Source organism: Homo sapiens, chromosome 3 (assembly GCF_000001405.40).
Source record: "Homo sapiens chromosome 3, GRCh38.p14 Primary Assembly".
Lineage (NCBI taxonomy): Eukaryota > Metazoa > Chordata > Mammalia > Primates > Hominidae > Homo > Homo sapiens.
In genome coordinates, this window is record NC_000003.12 from 131,259,906 (window position 1) to 131,281,475 (window position 21,570).

General features: G+C 40.8%; 1 protein-coding gene across 51 annotated transcripts in view; it reads left to right on the top strand.

The window, feature by feature from the left end:
- The window catches only part of NEK11 (NIMA related kinase 11), a 323,589-nt gene that overhangs the window by 233,029 nt on the left and 68,990 nt on the right, over positions 1 to 21,570 (top strand). For 37 of the 51 annotated variants that reach the window (XR_001740271.2, NM_001353038.2, NM_001353022.2 and 34 more), the window contains one exon: positions 13,573 to 13,669. The exons of the other annotated variants lie outside the window; for them this stretch is intronic. Coding sequence is in view for 36 of the 37 variants with exons in the window: in NM_001353038.2 (NP_001339967.1) it covers positions 13,573 to 13,669 (97 nt within the window). In the remaining variant the exon portion in view is untranslated. The remainder of the gene's footprint in view (positions 1 to 13,572; positions 13,670 to 21,570) is intronic. 51 annotated transcript variants of the gene reach the window in all.

Below are 21,570 nucleotides of genomic sequence, written 5' to 3' on the forward strand. Positions count from 1 at the left end.
GGTGAGGCAGTACAGAGACTACCCTGTTTTGCAGATTCTTCGACAGTTTTGTTGCCATTCTGATGTCCACTATTGTCACAGGAGAAGCTCAAGGAAAAATCTTCACCAAGTTTGTGTCAGCTAAGCCTCTCAGCAGAGTAGAGCAGCTTTCACAGTGCCCTGCTGATTCACAGCCCCTCATAATAAGTCATGGGGCTGTCATCTGGAGAGGTGGAGAAATGAGATGGAAGACATAATGATCACCCCAAATTTCAACCTTTTAGAGGGGAAGTTCTGTCTGATGATCTTATTTTTTTTTAATTATCACATGAAACTCGTTATTTGGTTGTGGCACTTCTATGGGATGTTAGAGCACTCATTTGGGAGTCAGGAAACCACAGTTCTAGTCTGGGCTCTGCCCCTTTCTATGACCTTGTGCAAGTCATAAAACCTCTCTTGGCCTGAGTCTTCACACCTGTAAGATGAAGAAATTTGACTTGAGGTGTTCTAGGGTCACATCCAGCTCAGAATCATGATGAATCTCTATCATTTAGGCCAGAGGTCAGCAAACTATGGCCTGCATTCCAAATCTGTCTCACTGCCTGTTTTTGTAAATAAAATGTTACTGGAACACAGCCATGCTCATTCATTTACCTATTGCCTATAGCTATTTTCATGCTACTGAAGCAGACTTGAGTTGCAACAGAAATTCTATGGTCTATAAAGTCTAGAATATTTACTACCCGCCCCTTTACAGATAAAGGTTTGCTGACCTTGATCTAGGCAAATCTTCTGTCATGTCGCATTCCAAGGAGTAGGAGGAGAAATATGAGCCATGAGGATATACTTTTGCAATAATTTGGCAAAGAGTGGTATCAGTCAAGTAACTGCTATTTCCTAAGTATTCCTTAGGAAATTCAGAGCAAGACGAGGGTTAAAGATTAGGTAAGAAGCATTCTAAATGTACAGTGCACCAAGGGCAGTGTCTGTGAGGATTCCTGAGTAAGCAATGTCTCAGGTGCTTAAGTGAGATCTTGTTTGCCAAAATATCCACCTCTGTGGTCCCTGCATCAGCTCTTTATTACCCACATGGCAGGGTGTTTAGCAGGGAGGGCAAACACAGCTTTTTCTTTTATGATCAAGGTCATTTGTCCAGCAACTGAAATGGGTAAAGGGAAATTTTAGAAGAAATTTTTCAAAGAAATGAGAGAAGAAACTCTCTGCTGGTGAAATGTCAGAATTATCAAGCTGTCACTCCTTCAGGGAAAATAACTTTGCTGGTGAGAGACCATAGAAGTAGGAGGAATCCTGACAATATTACTATTATGAGCTGTGCTTTGCACTTTTAGGAAACACAGCATCCAATTGCCAAATGTGTCTTCGTATCATTTTGTTTTCATCTCATTGTCAAAACATCCCCATGGGATATTGTCAAGTGTCATAATCCTCATCATTCTATATTTCACAGATGAGAAGAGAGACTTCAGGATGATTTTGCCTGACATAATGCTCATAACATTTACTGTTGGTCCCAGCCATTTGCTTCTTAGCATTTGTTTCCTTTGATTGCTCTTTATCTTTGTTAGCATAGGCATTGTCTTCCCAAGTAAATGCTATGCCTGACCTATGTCTTAGATCACAGAATGTTAGAATTGAGGGAAGGCCTTCAGTCTAATGAAACTACTGAAATATAAAATGAGGGAAGTGAGACCCAGGGAGGTGGCCTGAGCTGGTGAGAGAACTAAAAGAATAACTGTGGTCCCCTAACTTGAAGGTTATTGCTTTTTCCACGGACCTCATTATACCTCTTTGCATGCCCCATACATAGTATAGTGTCTTATGTATATGTACTCCATAGTACTACTAGGGATCATCTGTATAGATAGCCTATCTTCTTAATTGACTGCAAGATTTTTATAGGTTAAGAATCACAGCTACTATTTATATTGCTTTTGATTTAACTCCCACCTATTGAGCATATAAAATATATGGCTTAAAAAACTGGAAAAAGATGAGCAAATTAAAGCCAAAGCAAATTGAAGGGAGAAAATTACAAAAATCAGAGTGGAAATAAGCAAAATAAAGAATGGAAAAACAATAAAGGATGTCAGTGAAACAAAAAAAAATAGGTTCTTTGTAAAGATCAACAAATATTGACCAACAAAATAAAAGAGAAGATTCAAATTAATACATCAGAAATGAAAGAGGGGACATTACTACTAACCTTAAAGAAATAAAAAGGATTGTAAAGGTATACTACGAACAACAGTATACCAACAAATCAGATAAATTAGATGAAATGGACAAATTTCTAGAAAGACAAAAATCACTGAAACTGACTCAGAAGCAATAGAAAGCTGAATACAGGGATGTGCACCTGTAGTCCCAGCTATTGGGAGGCTGAGGTGGGAGAATCACTTGAGCCTAGGAGTTCAAAGTCAGCCTGGGCAACATAGCAAGAGTCTGTCTCTAAACATAAATACACAAATAATTTTTTTAACAAAAAGAAATAGAAAACCTGAATATGCCTATCATATTCTATAGGACATAGATTTTCTATATACAAAATCATGTTATCCGCAAATTGAGATAATTTTACTTTTTCCTTTCCAATTTGGATTCCTTTGACTTCTTTTTCTTGCCCAATTTCCCTGGCTATAACCTGTAGTACAATGTTATATAAAAATGGCAAGAGAAGACATTCTTGTCAGGAGGAAAGATATACTATCCTTTCTTCATGTTACTGGATTTGACTTACTAGTATTTTAATAAAGGCAAAATTAGGGTTTTGTATTATACTTTAAGATCTGGGATACATGTGCAGGAGGTGCAAGTTTGTTACATAGGTATACACATGCCATGGTGGTTTGCTGCACCCATCAGCCCGTCATCTACATTAGGTATTTCTCCTAATGCTATCCCTCTACTTGTCCCCCAACCCCCGACAGGCCCTGGTGTGTGATGTCCCCCTCCCTAAGTCCATGTGTTCTCATTGTTCAACTCTCACTTATGAGTGAGAACATGCAATGTTTGGTTTTCTGTTCTTGTGTTAGTTTGCTGAGAATGATGGTTTCTAGTTTCATCCGTCTCCCTGCAGAGGAAATGAACTCATCCGTTTTTATGGCTCCATAGTATTCCATGGCATATATGTGCCACATTTTTTTAAATTATACTTTAAGTTCTAGGGTATATGTACACAATGTGCAGGTTTGTTACGTATGTATACATGTGCCATGTTGGTGTGTGCACCCATTAACTCGTCATTTACATTAGGTGTATCTCCTAATGCTATCCCTCCCTCCTCCACCCACCCCACGACAGGCCCTGGTGTGTGATGTTCTCCACCCTGTGTCCAAGTGTTCTCATTGTTCAATTCTTACCAATGAGTGAGAACATGCAGTTCTCACTGGTTTTCCCAGCACCATTTATTAAATAGGAAATCCTTTCCCCATTTCTTGTTTTTGTCAGGTTTGTCAAAGATCAGATGGTTGTAGATGTGTGGTATTATTTCTGAGGGCTCTGTTCTGTTCCATTGGTCTATATATCTGTTTTGGTACAAGTACCATGCTGTTTTGGTTACCGTAGCCTTGTAGTATAGTTTGAAGTCAGGTAGTGTGATGCCTCCAGCTTTGTTCTTTTGGCTTAGGATTGTCTTGGCAATGTGGGCTCTTTTTGTTTGATTTTCTGTCCTTGCAATAGTTGGCCACATTTTCTTAATCCAGCCTAACATTGATGGACATTTGGGTTGGTTCCAAGTCTTTGTTATTGTGAATAGTGCCACAATAAACATACATGTGCATGTGTCTTTATAACAGCATGATTTATAATCCTTTGGGTGTATACCTAGTAATGGGGTCACTGGGTCAAATGGTATTTCTAGTTCTAGATCCTTGAGGAATCACCACACTGTCATCCACAATGGTTGAACTAGTTTACAGTCCCACCAACAGTGTAAAAGTCCCTATTTCTCCACATCCTCTCCAGCACCTGTTGTTTCCTGACTTTTTAATGATCGCCATTCTAACTGCTGTGAGATGGTATCTCATTGTGGTTTTGATTTGCATTTCTCTGATGGCCAGTGTTGATGAGCATTTTTTCATGTGTCTGTTGGCTGCATAAATGTCTTCTTTTGAGAAGTGTCTGTTCATATACTTTGCCCACTTTTTGATGGGGTTGTTTGATTTTTTCTTGTAAATTTGTTTAAGTTCTTTGTAGATTCTAGATATTAGCCCTTTGTCAGATGAGTAGATTGTAAAAATTTTCTCCCATTCTGTAGGTTGCCTGTTCACTCTGATGGTAGTTTCTTTTGCTGTGCAGAAGCTCTTTAGTTTAATTAGATCCCATTTGTCAATTTTGGCTTTGTTGCCATTGCTTTTGGTGTTTTAGTCATGAAGTCCTTGCCCATGCCCATGTCCTGAATGGTATTGCCTAGGTTTTCTTCTAGGATTTTTATGGTTTTAGGTCTAACATTTAAGTCTTTAACCCATCTTGAATTAATTTTTGTATAAGGTGTAAGGAAGGGATCCAGTTTCATCTTTCTGCATATGGCTAGCCAGTTTTCCCAGCACCATTTATTAAATAGGGAATCCTTTCCCCATTTCTTGTTTTTGTCAGGTTTGTCAAAGATCAGATGGTTGTAGATGTGTGGTATTATTTCTGAGGGCTCTGTTCTGTTCCATTGATCTATACCTCTGTTTTGGGACCAGTACCATGCTGTTTTGGTTACTGTAGCCTTGTAGTATAGTTTGAAGTCAGGTAGCGTGATACCTCCAGCTTTGTTCTTTTGGCTTAGGATTGTCTTGGCAATGTGGGCTCTTTTTTGGTTCCATATGAACTTTAAAGTAGTTTTTTTCCAATTCTGTGAAGAAAGTCATTGGTAGCTTGATGGGGATGGCATTGAATCTATAAATTACCTTGGGCAGTATGGCCATTTTCACAATATTGATTCTTCCTATCCATGAGCATGGAATGATTTTCCATTTGTTTGTGTCCTCTTTTATTTCATTGAACAGTGGTTTGTAGTTCTCCTTGAAGAGGTCCTTCACATCCCTTGAAAGTTGGATTCCTAGGTATTTTATTCTCTTTGAAGCCATTGTGAATGGGAGTTCACTCATGATTTGGTTCTCTGTTTGTCTGTTATTGGTATATAGGAATGCTTGTGATTTTTGCACATTGATTTTGTATCCTGAGACTTTGCTGAAGTTGCTTATCAGCTGAAGTAGTTTTTGGGCTGAGACGAGGGGGTTTTCTAAATATAGACTCATGTGATCTGCAAACAGAGACAATTTGACTTCCTCTTTTCCTATTTGAATACCCTGTATTTCTTTCTCTTGCCTGATTGCCCTGGCCAGTACTTCCAATACTATGTTGAATAGGAGTGATGAGAGAGGTCATTCTTGTCTTGTGCCAGTTTTCAAAGGGAATGCTTCCAGCTTTTGCCCATTCAGTATGATACTGGCTGTGGGTTTGTCATAAATAGCTTTTATTATTTTGAGATATGTTCCATCAAAACTTAGTTTATCGAGAGTTTTTAGCATGAAGGGGTGTTGAATTTTGTCGAAGGCCTTTTCTGTGTCTATTGAGATAATCATGTGGTTTTTGTCATTTGTTCTGTTTAAGTAATGGATTACTTTTATTGATTTGCCTAAGTTTAACCAGCCTTGCATCACAGGAATGAAGCTGACTTGATTGTAGTGGATAAGCTTTTTGATGTGCTGCTGGATTCAGTTTGCCAGTATTTTATTGAGGATTTTCGCATCGATGTTTATCAGGGATATTGGCCTGAAATTTTCTTTTTTTTGTTGTGTCTCTACCAGGTTTTGGTATCAGGATGATGCTGGCCTCATAAAAAGTCAGGGAGGAATCCCTCTTTTTCTATCGTTTGGAATACTTTCAGAAGGAATGGTACCAGCTCTTCTTTGTACCTCTGGTAGAATTCGGCTGTGAATCCATCTGGTCCTGGACTTTTTTTGGTTGGTAGGCTGTTAATTACTGCCCCAATTTCAGAATGTGTTCTTGGTCTATTCAGGGATTTAACTTCTTCCTGATTTAGACTTGGGAGGGTGTATGTGTCCAGGAATTTATCCATTTCTTCTAGATTTTCTAGTTTATTTGCATAGAGGTGTTTATAATATTCTCTGATGGTAGTTTGTATTTCTGTGGAATCAGTGGTGATATCCCCTTTATCATTTTTTATTGTGTCTATTTGATTCTTCTCTCTTTTCTTCTTTATTAGTCTGGCTAGCAGTATATCTATTTTGTTGTCAGTAAACCAACTCCTGGATTCATTGATTTTTTGAAGGGTTTTTCCTGTCTCTAACTCCTTCAGTTTTGCTCTGATCTTAGTTATTTCTTGCCTTCTGCTAGCTTTTGAATTTGTTTGCTCTTTCTTCTCTAGTTCTTTAATTGTGATGTTAGGGTGTCAATTTGAGATTTTTCCTGCTTTTGCTTGTGGGCATTTCATGCTATAAATTTCCCTCTAAACACTGCTTTAGCTGTGTCCCAGGGATTCTGGTACGTTGTGTCTTTGTTCTCATCAGTTTCAAAGAACTTATTTATTTCCGCCTATTTCGTTATTTACCCAGTAGTCATTCAGGAGCAGCTTGTTCAGTTTCCATGTAGTTGTGTGGTTTGAGTGAGTTTCTTAATCCTCAGTTCTAATTGATTGCACTGTGGTCTGAGAAACTGTTTGTTATGATTTCCATTCTTTTGCATTTGCTAAAGGAGTGTTTTTACTTCCAATTATGTGGTCAATTTTAGAATAAGTGCGATGTGGTGCTGAGAAGAATGTATATTCTGTTGATTTCGGGTGGAGAGTTCTGTAGATGTCTATTAGGTCTGCCTGGTCCAGATCTGAGTTCAAGTCCTGAATATCCTTGTTAATTTTCTGTCTCATTGATCTGTCTAATAAAGTCTCTCACTATTATTGTGTGTGAGTCTAAGTCTCTTTGTAGGTCTCTGAGGGCTTGCTTTATGAATCTAGGTGCTCCTGTATTGGGTGCTTATACATTTAGGATAGTTAGCTGTTCTTGTTGCATTGATCCCTTTACCATTATGCCATGTCCTTCTTTGTCTCTTTTAATCTTTGTTGGTTTAAAGTCTGTTTTATCAGAGACTAAATTGCAACACCTGCTTTTTTTTGCTTTCCATTTGCTTGGTAAATATTATTCCATCCCTTTATTTTGAGCCTATGTGTGTCTCTGCATGTGAGATGGGTCTCCTGAATACAGCATACTGATGAGTCTTGACTCTCTATCCAATTTGCTAGTCCATGTCTTTTAATTGGGGCATTTAGCCCATTGACATTTAAGATTAATATTGTTATGTGTGAATTTGATCCTGTCATTATGATGCTAGCTCTTTATTTTGCTCATTAGTTGATGCAGTTTCTTCATAGTTTAAATGGTCTTTACAATTTAGCATGTTTTTGCAGTGGCTGGTACTGGTCGTTCCTTTCCATGTTTAGTGCTTCCTTCAGGAGCTCTTGTAAGGCAGGCCAGGTGGCGATAAAATCGCTCAACATTTGTTTGTCTGTAAAGGATTTTATTTCTCCCTCGCTTATGAAGCTTAGTTTAGCTGGATATGACATTCTGGGTTGAAAATTCTTTTATTTAAGAATGTTGAATATTGGCCCCCACTCTCTTCTGGCTTGTAGGGTTTCTGCTGAGAGAGCCACTGTTAGTCTGATGGGCTTCCCTTTGTGGGTAACCTGACCTTTCTCTCTCTTCTGGCTTGTAGGGTTTCTGCTGAGAGATCCACTGTTAGTCTGATGGGCTTCCCTTTGTGGGTAACCTGACCTTTCTCTCTGGCTGCCCTTAACCTTTTTTCCTTCATTTCAACCTTGGTGAATCTGACGATTGCGTGTCTCGGGGTTGCTCTTCTCGAGGAGTATCTTTGTGGTGTTCTCTGTATTTCCTGAATTTGAAAGTTGGCCTCTCTTGCTAGGTTGGGGAAGTTCTCCTGGATAATATCCTGAAATGTGTTTTCCAACTTGGTTCCATACTCCTCATCACTTTCAGGTACACCAATCAAACATAGGTTTGGTTTCTTCACATAGTCCCATATTTCTTGGAGGCTTTATTCATTCCTTTTCATTCTTTTTTCTCTAATCTTGTCTTCATGCTTTATTTCATTAAGTTCATAGTCTCTGATATCCTTTCTTCCACTTGATCAGTTCAGCTATTGATACTTGTGTATGTTTCACAAAGTTCTCGTGCTGTGTTTTTCAACTCCATCAGGTCATTTATGTTCTTCTCTAAACTGGTTATTCTAGTTAGCAATTCGTCTAACCTTTTATCAACATTCTTAGCTTCCTTGCATTGGGTTAGAACATGCTTTTTTAGCTCAGAGGAGTTTGTTATTACCCACCTTCTGAAGCCTACTTCTGTCAATTTGTCAAGCTCATTCTCCCTCCAATTTTGTTCCCTTGCTGGTGAGGAGTTGTGATCCTTTGGAGGGGAAGAGGCATTCTGATTTTTGAAATTTTCAGTCTTTTTGTGCTGGTTTTTCCTCATCTTCATGGATTTATCTACCTTTGGTCTTTGATGGTGACCTTCAGATGGGGTTTCTGAGTGGATGTCCTTTTTGTTGATGTTGATGCTATTCCTTTCTGTTTGTTAGTTTTCCTTCTAACAGCCAGACCCCTCTGCTGCAGGTCTGCTGGAGTTTGCTGGAGGTCCACTCCAGACCCTGTTTGCCTGAGTACCACCAGTGGAGGCTGCAGAACAGCAGCAATTGCTGCCTGTTCCTTCCTCTGGAAGCTTCATCCCAGAAGGGCACCCACCAGATGCCAGCCCAAACTCTCCTGTATTTGTCTGTCAACCCCTGCTGGGAGGTGTCTCCCAGTCAGGAGGCATGGGGGTCAGGGACCCACTTAAGGAGGCAGTCTGTCCCTTAGCAGAGCTCGAACACTGTGTTAGGAGATCCACTGCTCTCTTCAGAGCCAGCAGGCAGGGACGTTTAAGTCTGCTGAAGCTGTGCCACAGCCTCCCCTTCCCCCATTGGCTCTGTCCCAGGGAGATTGGGGTTTTATCTTTAATCCCCTGACTGGGGCTGCTGCCTTTTTTTCGGTGATGCCCTGCCCAGAGAGGAGGAATCTAGAGAGACAGTCTGACTACAGAGGCTTTGCCAAGCTGCGGTGGGCTCTGCCCAGTTCAAACTTCCCAGCAGCTTTGTTTACACTATGAGGGGAAAACCACCTACTCAAGCCTCAGTAATGGCAGATGCCCCTCCCCCCACCAAGCTTGAGCATCCCAGGTTGACTTCAGACTGCTGTGCTGGCAGTGCAAATTTCAAGCTGGTGGATCTTAGCTTTCTGGGCTCTGTGGGGGTGGGATCCGCTGAGCTAGACCACTTGGCTCCCTGGCTTCAGCCCCCTTTCCAGGGAAGTGAACGATTTTGTCTCGCTGGCATTCCAGGTGCCACTGGAGTATGAAAAACAACTCCTGCAGCTAGCTCAGTGTCTGCTCAAATGGCCACCCAGTTTTGTGCTTGAAACCCAGGGCCCTGGTGGCATAGGCACCCGAGGGAATCTCCTGGTCTGTGGGTTGCAAAGACCATGGGAAAAGCATAGTATCTGGGCCAGAGTGCACCATTCCTCATGGCACAGTCCCTCATGGCTTCCCTTGGCTAGGCGACGCCCCACCCTGCTTCAGCTCACCCTCTGTGGGCTGCACCCATTGTCTAACCAGTCCCAATGAGATGAGCTTGGTACCTCAGTTGGAAATGGAGAAATCACCCGCCTTCTGTGTTGATCTCACTGGCAGCTGCTGACTGGAGCTGTTCCTATTCGGCCATCTTGCCCATTCCATCCAAAAGTAGTTTTTGAAAATTAACATGGGGATTAAGGATTCAGCTATTTTTCAGAAAGCAGAGCTTTAAGAAAGCAGAGCTCTAGAACCAGGGCTTCATGGACGTGAGACCAGTGCAGTTACACAGAGCCCTAGGTTCAGGAAGGAGCCCACACATGGGGTTTCATAAAATTTTATCTTTGAATTTGTGTTTTATGAGTGAAAGCTGATAACACAGTGGAACACAGGCTCAAGGCTTAAAGCCTTGCTCATGTGCTGTCTTGCCTTTAAGACATCTACCTGGGAAGGTTCCTCTGCCACCTAGCCCTTAATCCCCATCCCATAACTACTGCAATCTTCCATTCCCAATGGGATCCTAGGTAATAGTGAGGAAGGGTTGCCGTGAGGTAAGACTGCCAGGTCCCTATAAGTGTCTACACTCCCCTGCAGAGTATCTGCCCTAGTTCCTGAGGGAGAATGACATTAAATACCCAACAAAAAGCACAATGACAGGTCCACAGACAAATACAGACCCCCCAAAAAACAGCTTTTCTCTTGTTTCTTGAACAAGGATTTCTGCGTTGTCATTTAGCACTGGGCCCCACAAATTATGTAGCTGGCCTGTCTAGAGCCTTACTACTCAAAGTGTGGTTGCAGGACCAGCAGCATTGGTATCACCTGGGAACATATGGAAACGTAGAATCCCAAGCCCTACCCAAACCTACTAAAGAAGAATCTGCATTTTAACAAGATCCCTGGATGATTTGTATGACATTAAAGTTTGAGAAGCAGTGGTCTAAAACACACTCTGGGATTCAGTCACCTATTGGATGACATCTATGTTCTTGCCCCAATTATTTTTATTATGATTGTTAAATGAATTGTCCTTTTCTTTGACATAAAGCAACTACTATTCATGTTGGAAGATGGGAGGCAGAGGGAAAGAAAGTTGGCCAATAAGAAACACTGAAAAAGGAATTGCTCTGAGCACCAAGCTTTGCCAACCCTGTTACTCGAAATTATACTTGCCCTGTTTTCTACCCTTGGGCTTAAGGCTTAGCATCTTTCCTAGCAGACTGAGTGCCTTATTGAGGGAAACTGTAGCCAGCTTAAAATAAACTGCAGCTCTCCTGGAAATTGCTTTGACCTTTATTTGCATAAGTCTTCAAAACTTGCCAGCTCTGGAAAAGATGGGAAAGGAGCACCTTATTTTTATTCTTGGCGGAACTGATTTTTGAGCTTGCATGTGAGTTACTTAGCATGGTATGGTTGGTGTTGTTTTAGTAACTTTTTAGGTTCTAGGAAAGATTATTGTAAAAAGCAACCAACAGGAATATGAAATAAACCCCTATGCCTTCCTCTTGCCCACTCCCCAAGCTTCCTGGGGAAAAGTATCTGTCCTGGCCAGAGTTAGTGGGAAGGTTGGAGCTGACAGAAAGCTGCTGTCCAGTTGCAGTGAGGGCCGAGGCAAATTTTCTCTCCAGGTGTGGAAGGGGCAATCTCCAGGAGTGAGAGAAATGGGAGCAATCAGTTGCTGGTACTTGTGTCTTTATCATGAAGGCATAACTGGTGAATGTACTATGAGCAACACATTGTTAATTTGTATTATGCCCTTTACAAGGTTTGTCCCTGTTAATCCAGTATTTCCATAACTAGGGATCTAGTCCAAGGAAAGATCAGAGACTTTGGCACAGAATTAAGCTGGAGAATATTCATCTCAATTATATCTATAGGAGCAAGAAGTTCAAAGTGGGATACATGCCCCAACAGGTAGTGCAAAAGGAGGATGTATGTGAGACATATTAGAATTTGCATTTAACTTTTAAAATTTAAAAAATAGAGCCAGTCGGGGTGGCTCACGCCTGTAATCCCAGCACTTTGGCAGGCCGAGGCAGGCGGATCACCTCAGGTCAGGAGTTCGAGACTAGCCTGACCAACATGGCAAAACCCTGTATCTACTAAAAAGAAAAAAATTAGCTGGGCTTGGTGGCGGGAGCCTGTAATCCCAGCTACTTGGGAGGCTGAGGCAGGAGAATTGCTTGAACCCAGGAGGTGGAGGATGCAGTGAGCCGAGATCTCACTATTGCACTCCAGCCTGGGCAACAAGAGCAAAACTCCATCTCAAAAAAATAAAAAGGTCGGGTGTGGTGGCTCACGCCTGTAATTCCAGCAGTTTGGGAGGCCGAGGTGGGCGGATCACCTGAGCTCGGGAGTTTAAGACCAGCCTGACCAACAGGAGACCAACAGGAGATAACCTGTCTCTACTAAAAATACAAAATTAGCCAGGCATGGTGGCGCACGCCTGTAATCCCAGCTACTCAGGAGACTGAGGCAGAAGAATCACTTGAACCCGGGAGGCAGAGGTTGCGGTGAGCCGAGATCACGCCATTGCATTCCAGCCTGGGCAACAAGAGCGAAACTCCGTCTCAAAAAAAAGAAGAAGAAAAAGTTTTACTAATATGTAAAATGGGGACTCCACCTTGCTTCTTTACTTGGTCCCTAAGTCAAGCAGGCACATGTTATATGAGATATGTTGAGAAAAGAATGGGAATTTCATAACATGAGTCTCTTCTCTCTGACATAGCAACTACATGGATATAATTTATAAATGATCATTGGAGTGGACAGTTTTTTACTGATGGGATGTGAAGCACCTTATAAGAGATCTAAGGACGTGCACAGGGAGTACTCTGCTCCCAGTTCCAGGGAGGAAAGAGCAGCATAGGGCCAAATTGTAAATTCAGCTCTATGGATTGCCCTGAGCTCTTGCTAATGGGCCAGTTTTAGCTTCTTTTTTTTTTTTTTTTTTTTTTTTTTTTTTGAGACAGAGCCTTGTTCTTTCACCCAGGCTGGAGTGCCGTGGTGCGATCTGAGCTCATTGCAACCTCCGCCTCCCAAGTTCAAGTGATTCTCCTGTCTCAGCCTCCAGAGTAGCTGGGATTACAGGCAAGTGCCACCACACCCAGCTAATTTTTATATTTTTAGTAGAGACGAGGTTTCACCATGTTGGCCAGGCTGGTCCCAAACTCGTGACCTCAGGTGATCCGCCCACCTCAGCCTTCCAAAATGCCGGGATTACAGGCATGAGCCACTGCACCCAACCCAGTTTTAGCTTTTTAATGGAAAGTAGTGTTGTTTCAGTTGATGGAATATTTCTTTCCCTCAGTTTCAACATGTTTTATAAGAGCCTTCAGGATGTTTCATTAAAAACTGTAGCTCTCTCAGCAGATTTCATTACACCTCAACTTTCATTACCAACTCTTACCCTCTGAACACAACTTTGGCCTTCTGCTCCATTCTGCTGAAGTTTAAAGCTGCAGATAGGACCTCTGGTCAGCATTTTGCTTTCCATTGCAAAAAAAGCTAATGCTCAGGTATAAGATTAAGATAAAAGGAAAACTAAGCTTATTAGAAAAATTCCTAGTCACTTAGTCAAACATCCACACCTGCTGAAAGAGAATGGCCAAAGGGTCCTCAGGAACACTTGCTTTTCTATAGATACATTTCCCCCTGAGTTTTCTAGGATAAAAAGCTCATCTTTTAAATAATGGTGTTTTGTTTAAACAATCCTTTGTGAGAGAGGCTTTCTCCTGGAATACCTTGTGCATATTAAAACTGTAAATAATCTTGTCATTTGGAATAAATCTTCTTAATGTGCGTGTTATAATTGAATTCATCTCTAATTAATGTAGCATTACCATGTGGCAAAGGTGGATTAGCTTCTGTTTTCTGATTGCCCTTGAACATCGCCTTGAAGTTGCAGGATTGCTGATGAAGTCAATAAGGGCTGTGCATTGATTTTCAGACACAAAGACCATCACCACCATGGCTGAAGACATGTCCCCAGGACCACCAATTTTCAACAGTGTGATGGCCAGGACCAAGATGAAACGCATGAGGGAGTAAGTAGCATGTTGCCTGCCCCCTAGGAAGGTGCAGTGTTAAAGCATATTGACCAAGTGTGTGACCCAGTCATGTGATACTGTCTTAGTCCATTTGTGCTGCCGTGACAAAATACCTGGGACTAAGCTGTTCCAACTTAGAAACTTCTCTCTAAAATTCACTTTCTGTATTGGTGCTGGTCGAATAATTAGGGAAGTTTGGCAAGAATTATTTTTCAGTTGATTTGCACTTATAGTATTCTTGCAGCACAGCACATTCTCATCCATGCTAATGTTTGAAAGCAAAGGAGAAAAAAATGCTGAAAATTATTTCCAAGCCTAAAGCTGTTACTATGTTTATATACTTATTGTTTTCTAGCCCTACCTGTACCAGAGTGGTCTTTTTTTTTTATTATTATTATACTTTAAGTTTTAGGGTACATGTGCACATTGTGCAGGTTAGTTACATATGTATACATGTGCCATGCTGGTGCGCTGCACCCACTAACTCATCGTCTAGCATTAGGTATATCTCCCAATGCTATCCCTCCCCCCTCCCCCCACCCCACAACAGTCCCCAGAGTGTGATATTCCCCTTCCTGTGTCCATGTGATCTCATTGTTCAATTCCCACCTATGAGTGAGAATATGCGGTGTTTGGTTTTTTGTTCTTGCGATAGTTTACTGAGAATGATGATTTCCAGTTTCATCCATGTCCCTACAAAGGACATGAACTCATCATTTTTTATGGCTGCATAGTATTCCATGGTGTATATGTGCCACATTTTCTTAATCCAGTCTATCATTGTTGGACATTTGGGTTGGTTCCAAGTCTTTGCTATTGTGAGTAGTGCCACAATAAACATACGTGTGCATGTGTCTTTATAGCAGCATGATTTATAGTCCTTTGGGTATATACCCAGTAGTGGGATGGCTGGGTCAAATGGTATTCCTAGTTCTAGATCCCTGAGGAATCGCTACACTGACTTCCACAATGGTTGAACTAGTTTACAGTCCCACCAACAGTGTAAAAGTGTTCCTATTTCTCCACATCCTCTCCAGCACCTGTTGTTTCCTGACTTTTTTTTTTTTTTTTTTTTTTTTTTTTTTTTGAGACGGAGTCTCGCTCTGTCGCCCAGGCCGGACTGCGGACTGCAGTGGCGCAATCTCGGCTCACTGCAAGCTCTGCTTCCCGGGTTCACGCCATTCTCCTGCCTCAGCCTCCCGAGTAGCTGGGACTACAGGCGCCTGCCACCGCGCCTGGCTAATTTTTTGTATTTTTAGTAGAGACGGGGTTTCACCTTGTTAGCCAGGATGGTCTCGATCTCCTGACCTCGTGATCCACCCGCCTCGGCCTCCCAAAGTGCTGGGATTACAGGCGTGAGCCACCGCGCCCGGCCGTTTCCTGACTTTTTAATGATTGCCATTCTAACTGGTGTGAGATGGTATCTCATTGTGGTTTTGATTTGCATTTCTCTGATGGCCAGTGATGATGAGCATTTTTTCATGTGTTTTTTTGGCTGCATAAATGTCTTCTTTTGAGAGTGGTCTTATAATAACATAATTACCATGGCAAGAACTGATTCCCAGAAATTGAAAGTGAGGGAGTATGGATTAATTTTTCCCTCTGTAGAGGGAAACTACCTCCACCTCTCCTTGCTTGGAGGAGATAATATAGAAGGTGTTGCTAATTTCCCAGTTGATAGTCTTTAAAGAGAAGAAAAGTGGTTTGCTTATTTTACCCGTAAAAGTTAACAATGTGGTGTCAGATTTTTGATCTAAGACTTCATTACTTTTGCAAAGTACACAATACCCCATTTCCTAGCATATTATGAAATGTTTTAAATAATTAAAATGAAAATATTTTGCTAAATTAATTGGCCAAGATGCATTCTAATGATTTTATTCCTAGTGTGTTGTTTTTTTTCTCCTTATTGCTTGGCTGTAATTGACCAAGTACTTTCTGGCTCACCTTTTTCATGTGGGCTACTGCAGTTTGGGTTACTCCCCCATGGATGGTATTGCTCCTCTAGTGGAATAACCTGCCATCCTTTTATATTTTATATTGTGAATCCTTATGCCATTCCAGAAAAGGCAAAAGGAAATCAAGGCTGCAAATCTGCATGTCTTTTGAGCATGTTGTGTTTTCTCAGTTTCAAAGACTTAGAAGCCAGCCAGAGAGAGGAAATCTTGCTGTTCTTTCTCTGCACTGTGATATACTGCATGCTCAGCATATGGATGGCAACTATTGGGATGCCAAGAAGAATAGTTAATGACATTTGTCTCCATAGAGATTATAATGTAGAGAAAACACAAAACTTCAAATGCAAAACGTTAAATGACAACATAGTGGTTATGTAATATGAGGTGATAATTAAGAAAAGTCCCCAAATAGGAGCATGGCCATGAGCCAAATAGATGATGAGAGCTCTAAGATCAGAAAGGGGAAGTTGGGAGACCTCTGGGAGAAGCAGGGACTTAGCCTTCACCTTGGCCTTCACAGAGGGATGTAATTTGGAGAGGTAAAGAAAAAGGAGGAGAAGCTGGAGGTCAGCAGATTTGGTGTCTGAGTCTTGGCTTCACTAATAAATGGCTGTCTAACCTTTGACAAGTGATTTTCTAAGATTCAGTTTCTTTATCTATAAAATGGTCATATTAATTGCCACAGCTGGATTCCCAGGAAGCATACTCAGAGATGGAGATTAATGTGTAGGAGGAGGTTTGTGAGGGAATCTTCTGGAGACCAACACCTGTAGAAAGGAGGAGGAAGGAAGCAGACTGGTCAGGGAGAAGTCAAGCTGTGACATGGGTCATTAGAGGCCTCTGCCAACCCCATTGGGAGTTCTGGGGCTAGATGGCCCTGCAGAACTGTGCTGAGTTGGGACAAGAGGGCCTTTGTAACCCCAAGTCAATCAGACATTGCATGTGGGCCACTCTGGGAAGGGGCCGTGACTGAACAAGATGTTCACTTCTGTATTTACCAGTATAGACTTCATCTGGATTTGCCAGTTGTTAACACTTTGTCACATTTTTGTAATTTTTCTTTATATCTATCTATATAATATATATACATATACACTTATAAATTATTATTATTACTGATCCGTTTGAGAATAGATTCCATGCTTCATGATTCTTCAACCCTAAATATTTAAATGAGTAGCTTCTAAAAACAAGAACATTCTCTTAATATAACCATAGTATGATGATTGAATTCAGGAAATTTCACATCAGTACATACTATTATTTAACATACAAATCCATATTCAGATTTCATTGATTATCCCAATAATACCCATTATAGCAATTGTTTTTCTGATTCAGGATACAAGCCAGGATCACACATTACACTCAGTTGCTATGTCTCTTTGGTGTATTTACTCTAGAATGGTTCCTTAGTCATTCTTCATCTTTCATGACACTGACATTTTTGAAGAGTGCAGGCCAGTTGTTTTGTAAGATATCTCTTACTGTGGGTTTGTCTGTTGTTTCCTCATTATGAGCTTCAGGTTATACACTTTTGGTGGTAGCCTACATAAGAAATATTGTTTGTCCTGAACTTTTAAACATTTAATTATAGGAAGTTTCAGCCACATATAAAAGTAGTCAGAGTAGTATAATTTTTCTGTAGACTAATCAACCCAACCAGTTTAACAGTTATCACCCATGACCAATCTTGTTTTTCTATACTTCCACCTGTTCTCACATGTTACTTTTAAGGAAGTCCTATTCATCATATGTTATATCCATAAGTATTTAAATAAATATGTGAATTTTGATCTGCTCTTTGACACTTTCCCTTGGATGTCCATTAGGCATCTCAAGCTCAGGATTTCCAAAACTGAACTCCTAAATTTCCCTACCACATCTGCCCCCTCCACAGCCTTCCCCATTGTTACATAAGCAAAGGCAAGATCTAGTTAAGAAAGAACCTTCCAGCTCAGTAAGTAGTGCCTGAAGGCTTACTTAGTGTGTGACAGTTTAAGGATATCAGGCAAATGACTTTGTCGTCTCCTCTATGAAGAAGTTGGGTGGCAACACACCTGGTGATCATGCTGCCATCCTTCTCCAAGTTCTCTAAACTGGGGGCCCTGGGGCTTTGTAAGTATTAATATATGCGATGTCAGGCATAGAGTAGACCCTAGCACAGTGGTCAGAAGGGAAGATGCAGGGGGCAAGCTGCTGGGATTTATATCCCTCCTTGCCACTGACTAATATGTGTCCTTGGACAAGTTAACCAAACTCTTTGGGCCTCAGATTTCTCATCTGTGAAGTGGGACTAATAATGATTTTTGCCTCATAGAGTTGTTGTTAGGGTGAGTTGAGATAATGTATGAAATGCACTAAGAATAGTTTATGGCACATAGTAAGTGCTCAGTAAATGTTAACAACTTAGACTCTCAATATATGTGTGGTTGCTTCACTTTGAAAATCCCCAAGCCAAGTGTCTGAAGGTGTTGACATGTGTTTGTGATGTTTTATACCTGAGGGCATTGGTAAGTGAAGCAGCTGTTTGTTAAGACATGCATGTAGTATCTTTTTAGCATGCGAAAAGTGCTAGTGCCAATTCTCTGAGAAAATGCCATGAAGTTGTTTAATATAAATTCCAGACATTTGCCATTCTCCAACTGACTTCTGGCCACAGCCACTTCTCACTCTTGCAGGGAGACTACTCCATAAATGAAACTCCCCTACTGGTGCACAAACAACATCAGCTCTCAGAAGTTATTAGGTGGTACTGCTCAAAGTCATTGGAATGTTGGCAAAATGACAAGAAGTCAGTGTTGACTTCTTTTCTGACTGAGGAATTTCCATGTACATTTGAAGAGTGGTTGCTATTCATGTATGGATAGATAAATGATGAATGGATAGATGAATTGATGGATAGGTAGGTGGATGGATGGGTGAACGGGTGGATAAGTGGGCCTTTGTGGCTCCATGGTCCTCCTGAAACTTCTGCTCTCAGGAAAGGGTTTCTGTTCAAAAAAGTTTTTTGTTTTGTTTTGTTTTTTTTTGTTTTTTTACACCTCAAGCCAGATTAAATTCCAGGCCTGGCTCCATGCTCCCACTAGAAGCCAAAAAGGAGACCCTGTGGAATGACGGCTCGTCAGCTTTCAGCTCTGAGGAGGGCAAGGGGCCACTGTGACTAAGACTGGTCCTTTAACTCACAGAGGCCAAGGCAATGTACATGAAGGGCCTGCTCTATCTAAATGAATTATCCTCTTGGCCTCAGCTTTATACATCAAGTAAGACCACTGGTGTCCTGTGCCTTACTACTTAGAGTGTGGTCCCTGACCTGCACCAGGGACATCATCTGGAAACCCGTGAGAAATGCAAACTCTCTGGCCCCCTCCCTCCTGAATCAGAATCTGAATTTTAAACTATTTAGAAATTCATATACACATTAAAGTTTGAGACATTTGTTACCAGAATGTGAGTTGGAATCAGTCTTAATAAAAATCAAATATTATATAAAATATATTAATATATTTATGTTTTAAGGCCCTAATATTTTTGACTTTTAAAAATTTACTTATGCTGGGAGTGGCAGCTCACACCTGTAATCCCAGCACTTTGAGAGACCAAGGAAGATTGATCACCTGAGGTCAGGAGTTTGAGACCAGCCTAAATTACTAAAAATACAAAAATTAGCCGGGCATGGTGGCACACGTCTGTAATCCCAGCTACTAGGGAAGGTGAGACAGGAGAATCGCTTGAACCCAGGAGACAGGTTGCAGTGAGCTGAGATCACGCCATTGCACTCCAGACTTGGCAACAAGAGCGAAACTCGGTCTCAAAAAATAAAATAAATTCACTTATTTTCCATTTATTTTAATAAGGAGTATATAATTTACATGCAGCAAAACTCACCTCTTTTTATATATAGTTCTATAAATTTTGATTTGTATACAATAAGATTCACTCTTTTTAGTAAACAGTTCTATCAGTGTTGACAAGTGCAAATAGTCGTATAATTATCAGCACAATCAAGATTATTATAGAACGGTTCTCTGTCCCCGAAAATTCCCTGTGCTCCCCCTTTGTAGTCAGCTCCTCCCACCATACCCTGTACCTCACAACCATGGTCTACTTTCTGTCCCTATAGTTTTTCCTTTTTATAATGTCATATTAGTGAAATCATCACTTAGCATCATAGACCCCCATTGTAACTGGATAGTTAGTTATGAATATGGATCTAGATCTATGCATAGTCATATGCTAGAGCCTTGCAATTTTGAATAACTTCATTCTCCACAGAACTGTCACAAGGAGACTCAGGTCTGGCATTAAAGTCACAGGCACCTCACTAGCAGCGGTCCCGAAGGTTTCTGTCCCCAGTAAGAGTCTGCTGTTAGAGAAACTTGCTACCCAGAAAATTTTGAGGCTGAACTGCTGGTTTCCCTGTCAGACTTGTCAGCTTTTTGCAATGGCTGGGAGGCCTTAGTTCCTGGAAACAGTGTGAGTAGAGGGAGTCTCCTTCATCTTGCTCTATTGAGATTTCTAGGGATCAGATCCACCTCACTAAAAAGCTCAATAATGGAAAAGGCCTGAGAATCTGGGGGAGCTTCTGAGCCCACTTTTCCAATTGGAAGTCAGGGACCTGAAAAACATCTGGGCCCTAAGAAACAGTTTAATGACAGGGATGGCATCATTTTCTGGTGACATTCTCTGAATCACCTTTGCATTGCCAATTCATGCAGTGAGCACAGGAAAAAAATAATCTTTGTAGGGATACGTGTTCTCCACTTTAGGAACTGCAATTACACATATAGTAGGCTATTTGAAGTTGTCCCACAGCTTACTGGTGCTATGCTCTTTTTTTTTAAGGCTTTTTTTTCCCTCTCTGTCTGTCATTTTGGATAGTTTCTTTTGCTATGTCTTAAAATTTATTAATCTTTTCTTCTGCAATGTCTAATCTACTGTTAATCTCATTCAGTGTATGTTTATAAATAGACATTATAAGCAGTTTGAGATTCATAGCAAAATTGACTGGAACATTCAGTGTATTCTTCATCTTAGACATTAAGTTTTCATCTCTAGAAGTTTGGTTTGAGTCTTTTTGTTACATCTTTCTTGTCTCTGTTTAACATGTTCAATATTTCCTCTATTTAACAAGTAGAGTACAGTTATACTAATTATTTTGATGTCTTTGACATTGTGAGTTAAAACTCACCCTGTGTGGGTGTTGGATAATTCTGTATTCCAATAAATAGCCGGGATCTTTGTTTTAGTTGCTTGGAAGCAGTTTGATACTTTTGGTTTTTACTTTTGAGCTTTGTTATGTGGGACCAGGGCAGCATTTAGGCTACAGCTGGTTATTTCCCATTACTGCAGCAAGACCCTTCTGGGTTCTCTATGCAATGGCTGATGAATGACCAGGTTTACCAGTTTGGCAAGTATGAAGGTCTGAAGAGGCACTATTCATGGCCCAATGTGAGCCCCAAGTACTATTCTCTCTCATCCTCTCGTGTCCTTCCCTCTCTCAGCTCAGTAATCTCCTCACATGCACGTGCTGGTCTACACTCAGCTGAATCACACTGTATGTGTGGGTATACACAGGTTTATTGATTTCTTTTGCTTCACATTTTTTTAAACAGCTTTTGTTTTAATACTTTTGTTAATTATGTAACATGTTTCCATGGGTCCAAAGTCAGATCTATTAAAAGCCATATTTAATGAAGACTAGCTTCTATCCTTGATCCCTTGCCCTATTTCCTCCCTTCCATGTTTAAAAATTTCAGGGCTCATCCTTTCATTTAAAAATATATTCAGATAAATGAATCTCTCTCCTGCTGCTTAAGAAATTGGTAACATATTATATACATTTTGTCTCCTTTATTTAGTAATATATGCTGGAGCACAGTAGTATATGGCAATATTCTTCACTTCTTTTTACAGCTTCCAAGTTCTCCTCTGTGTAGA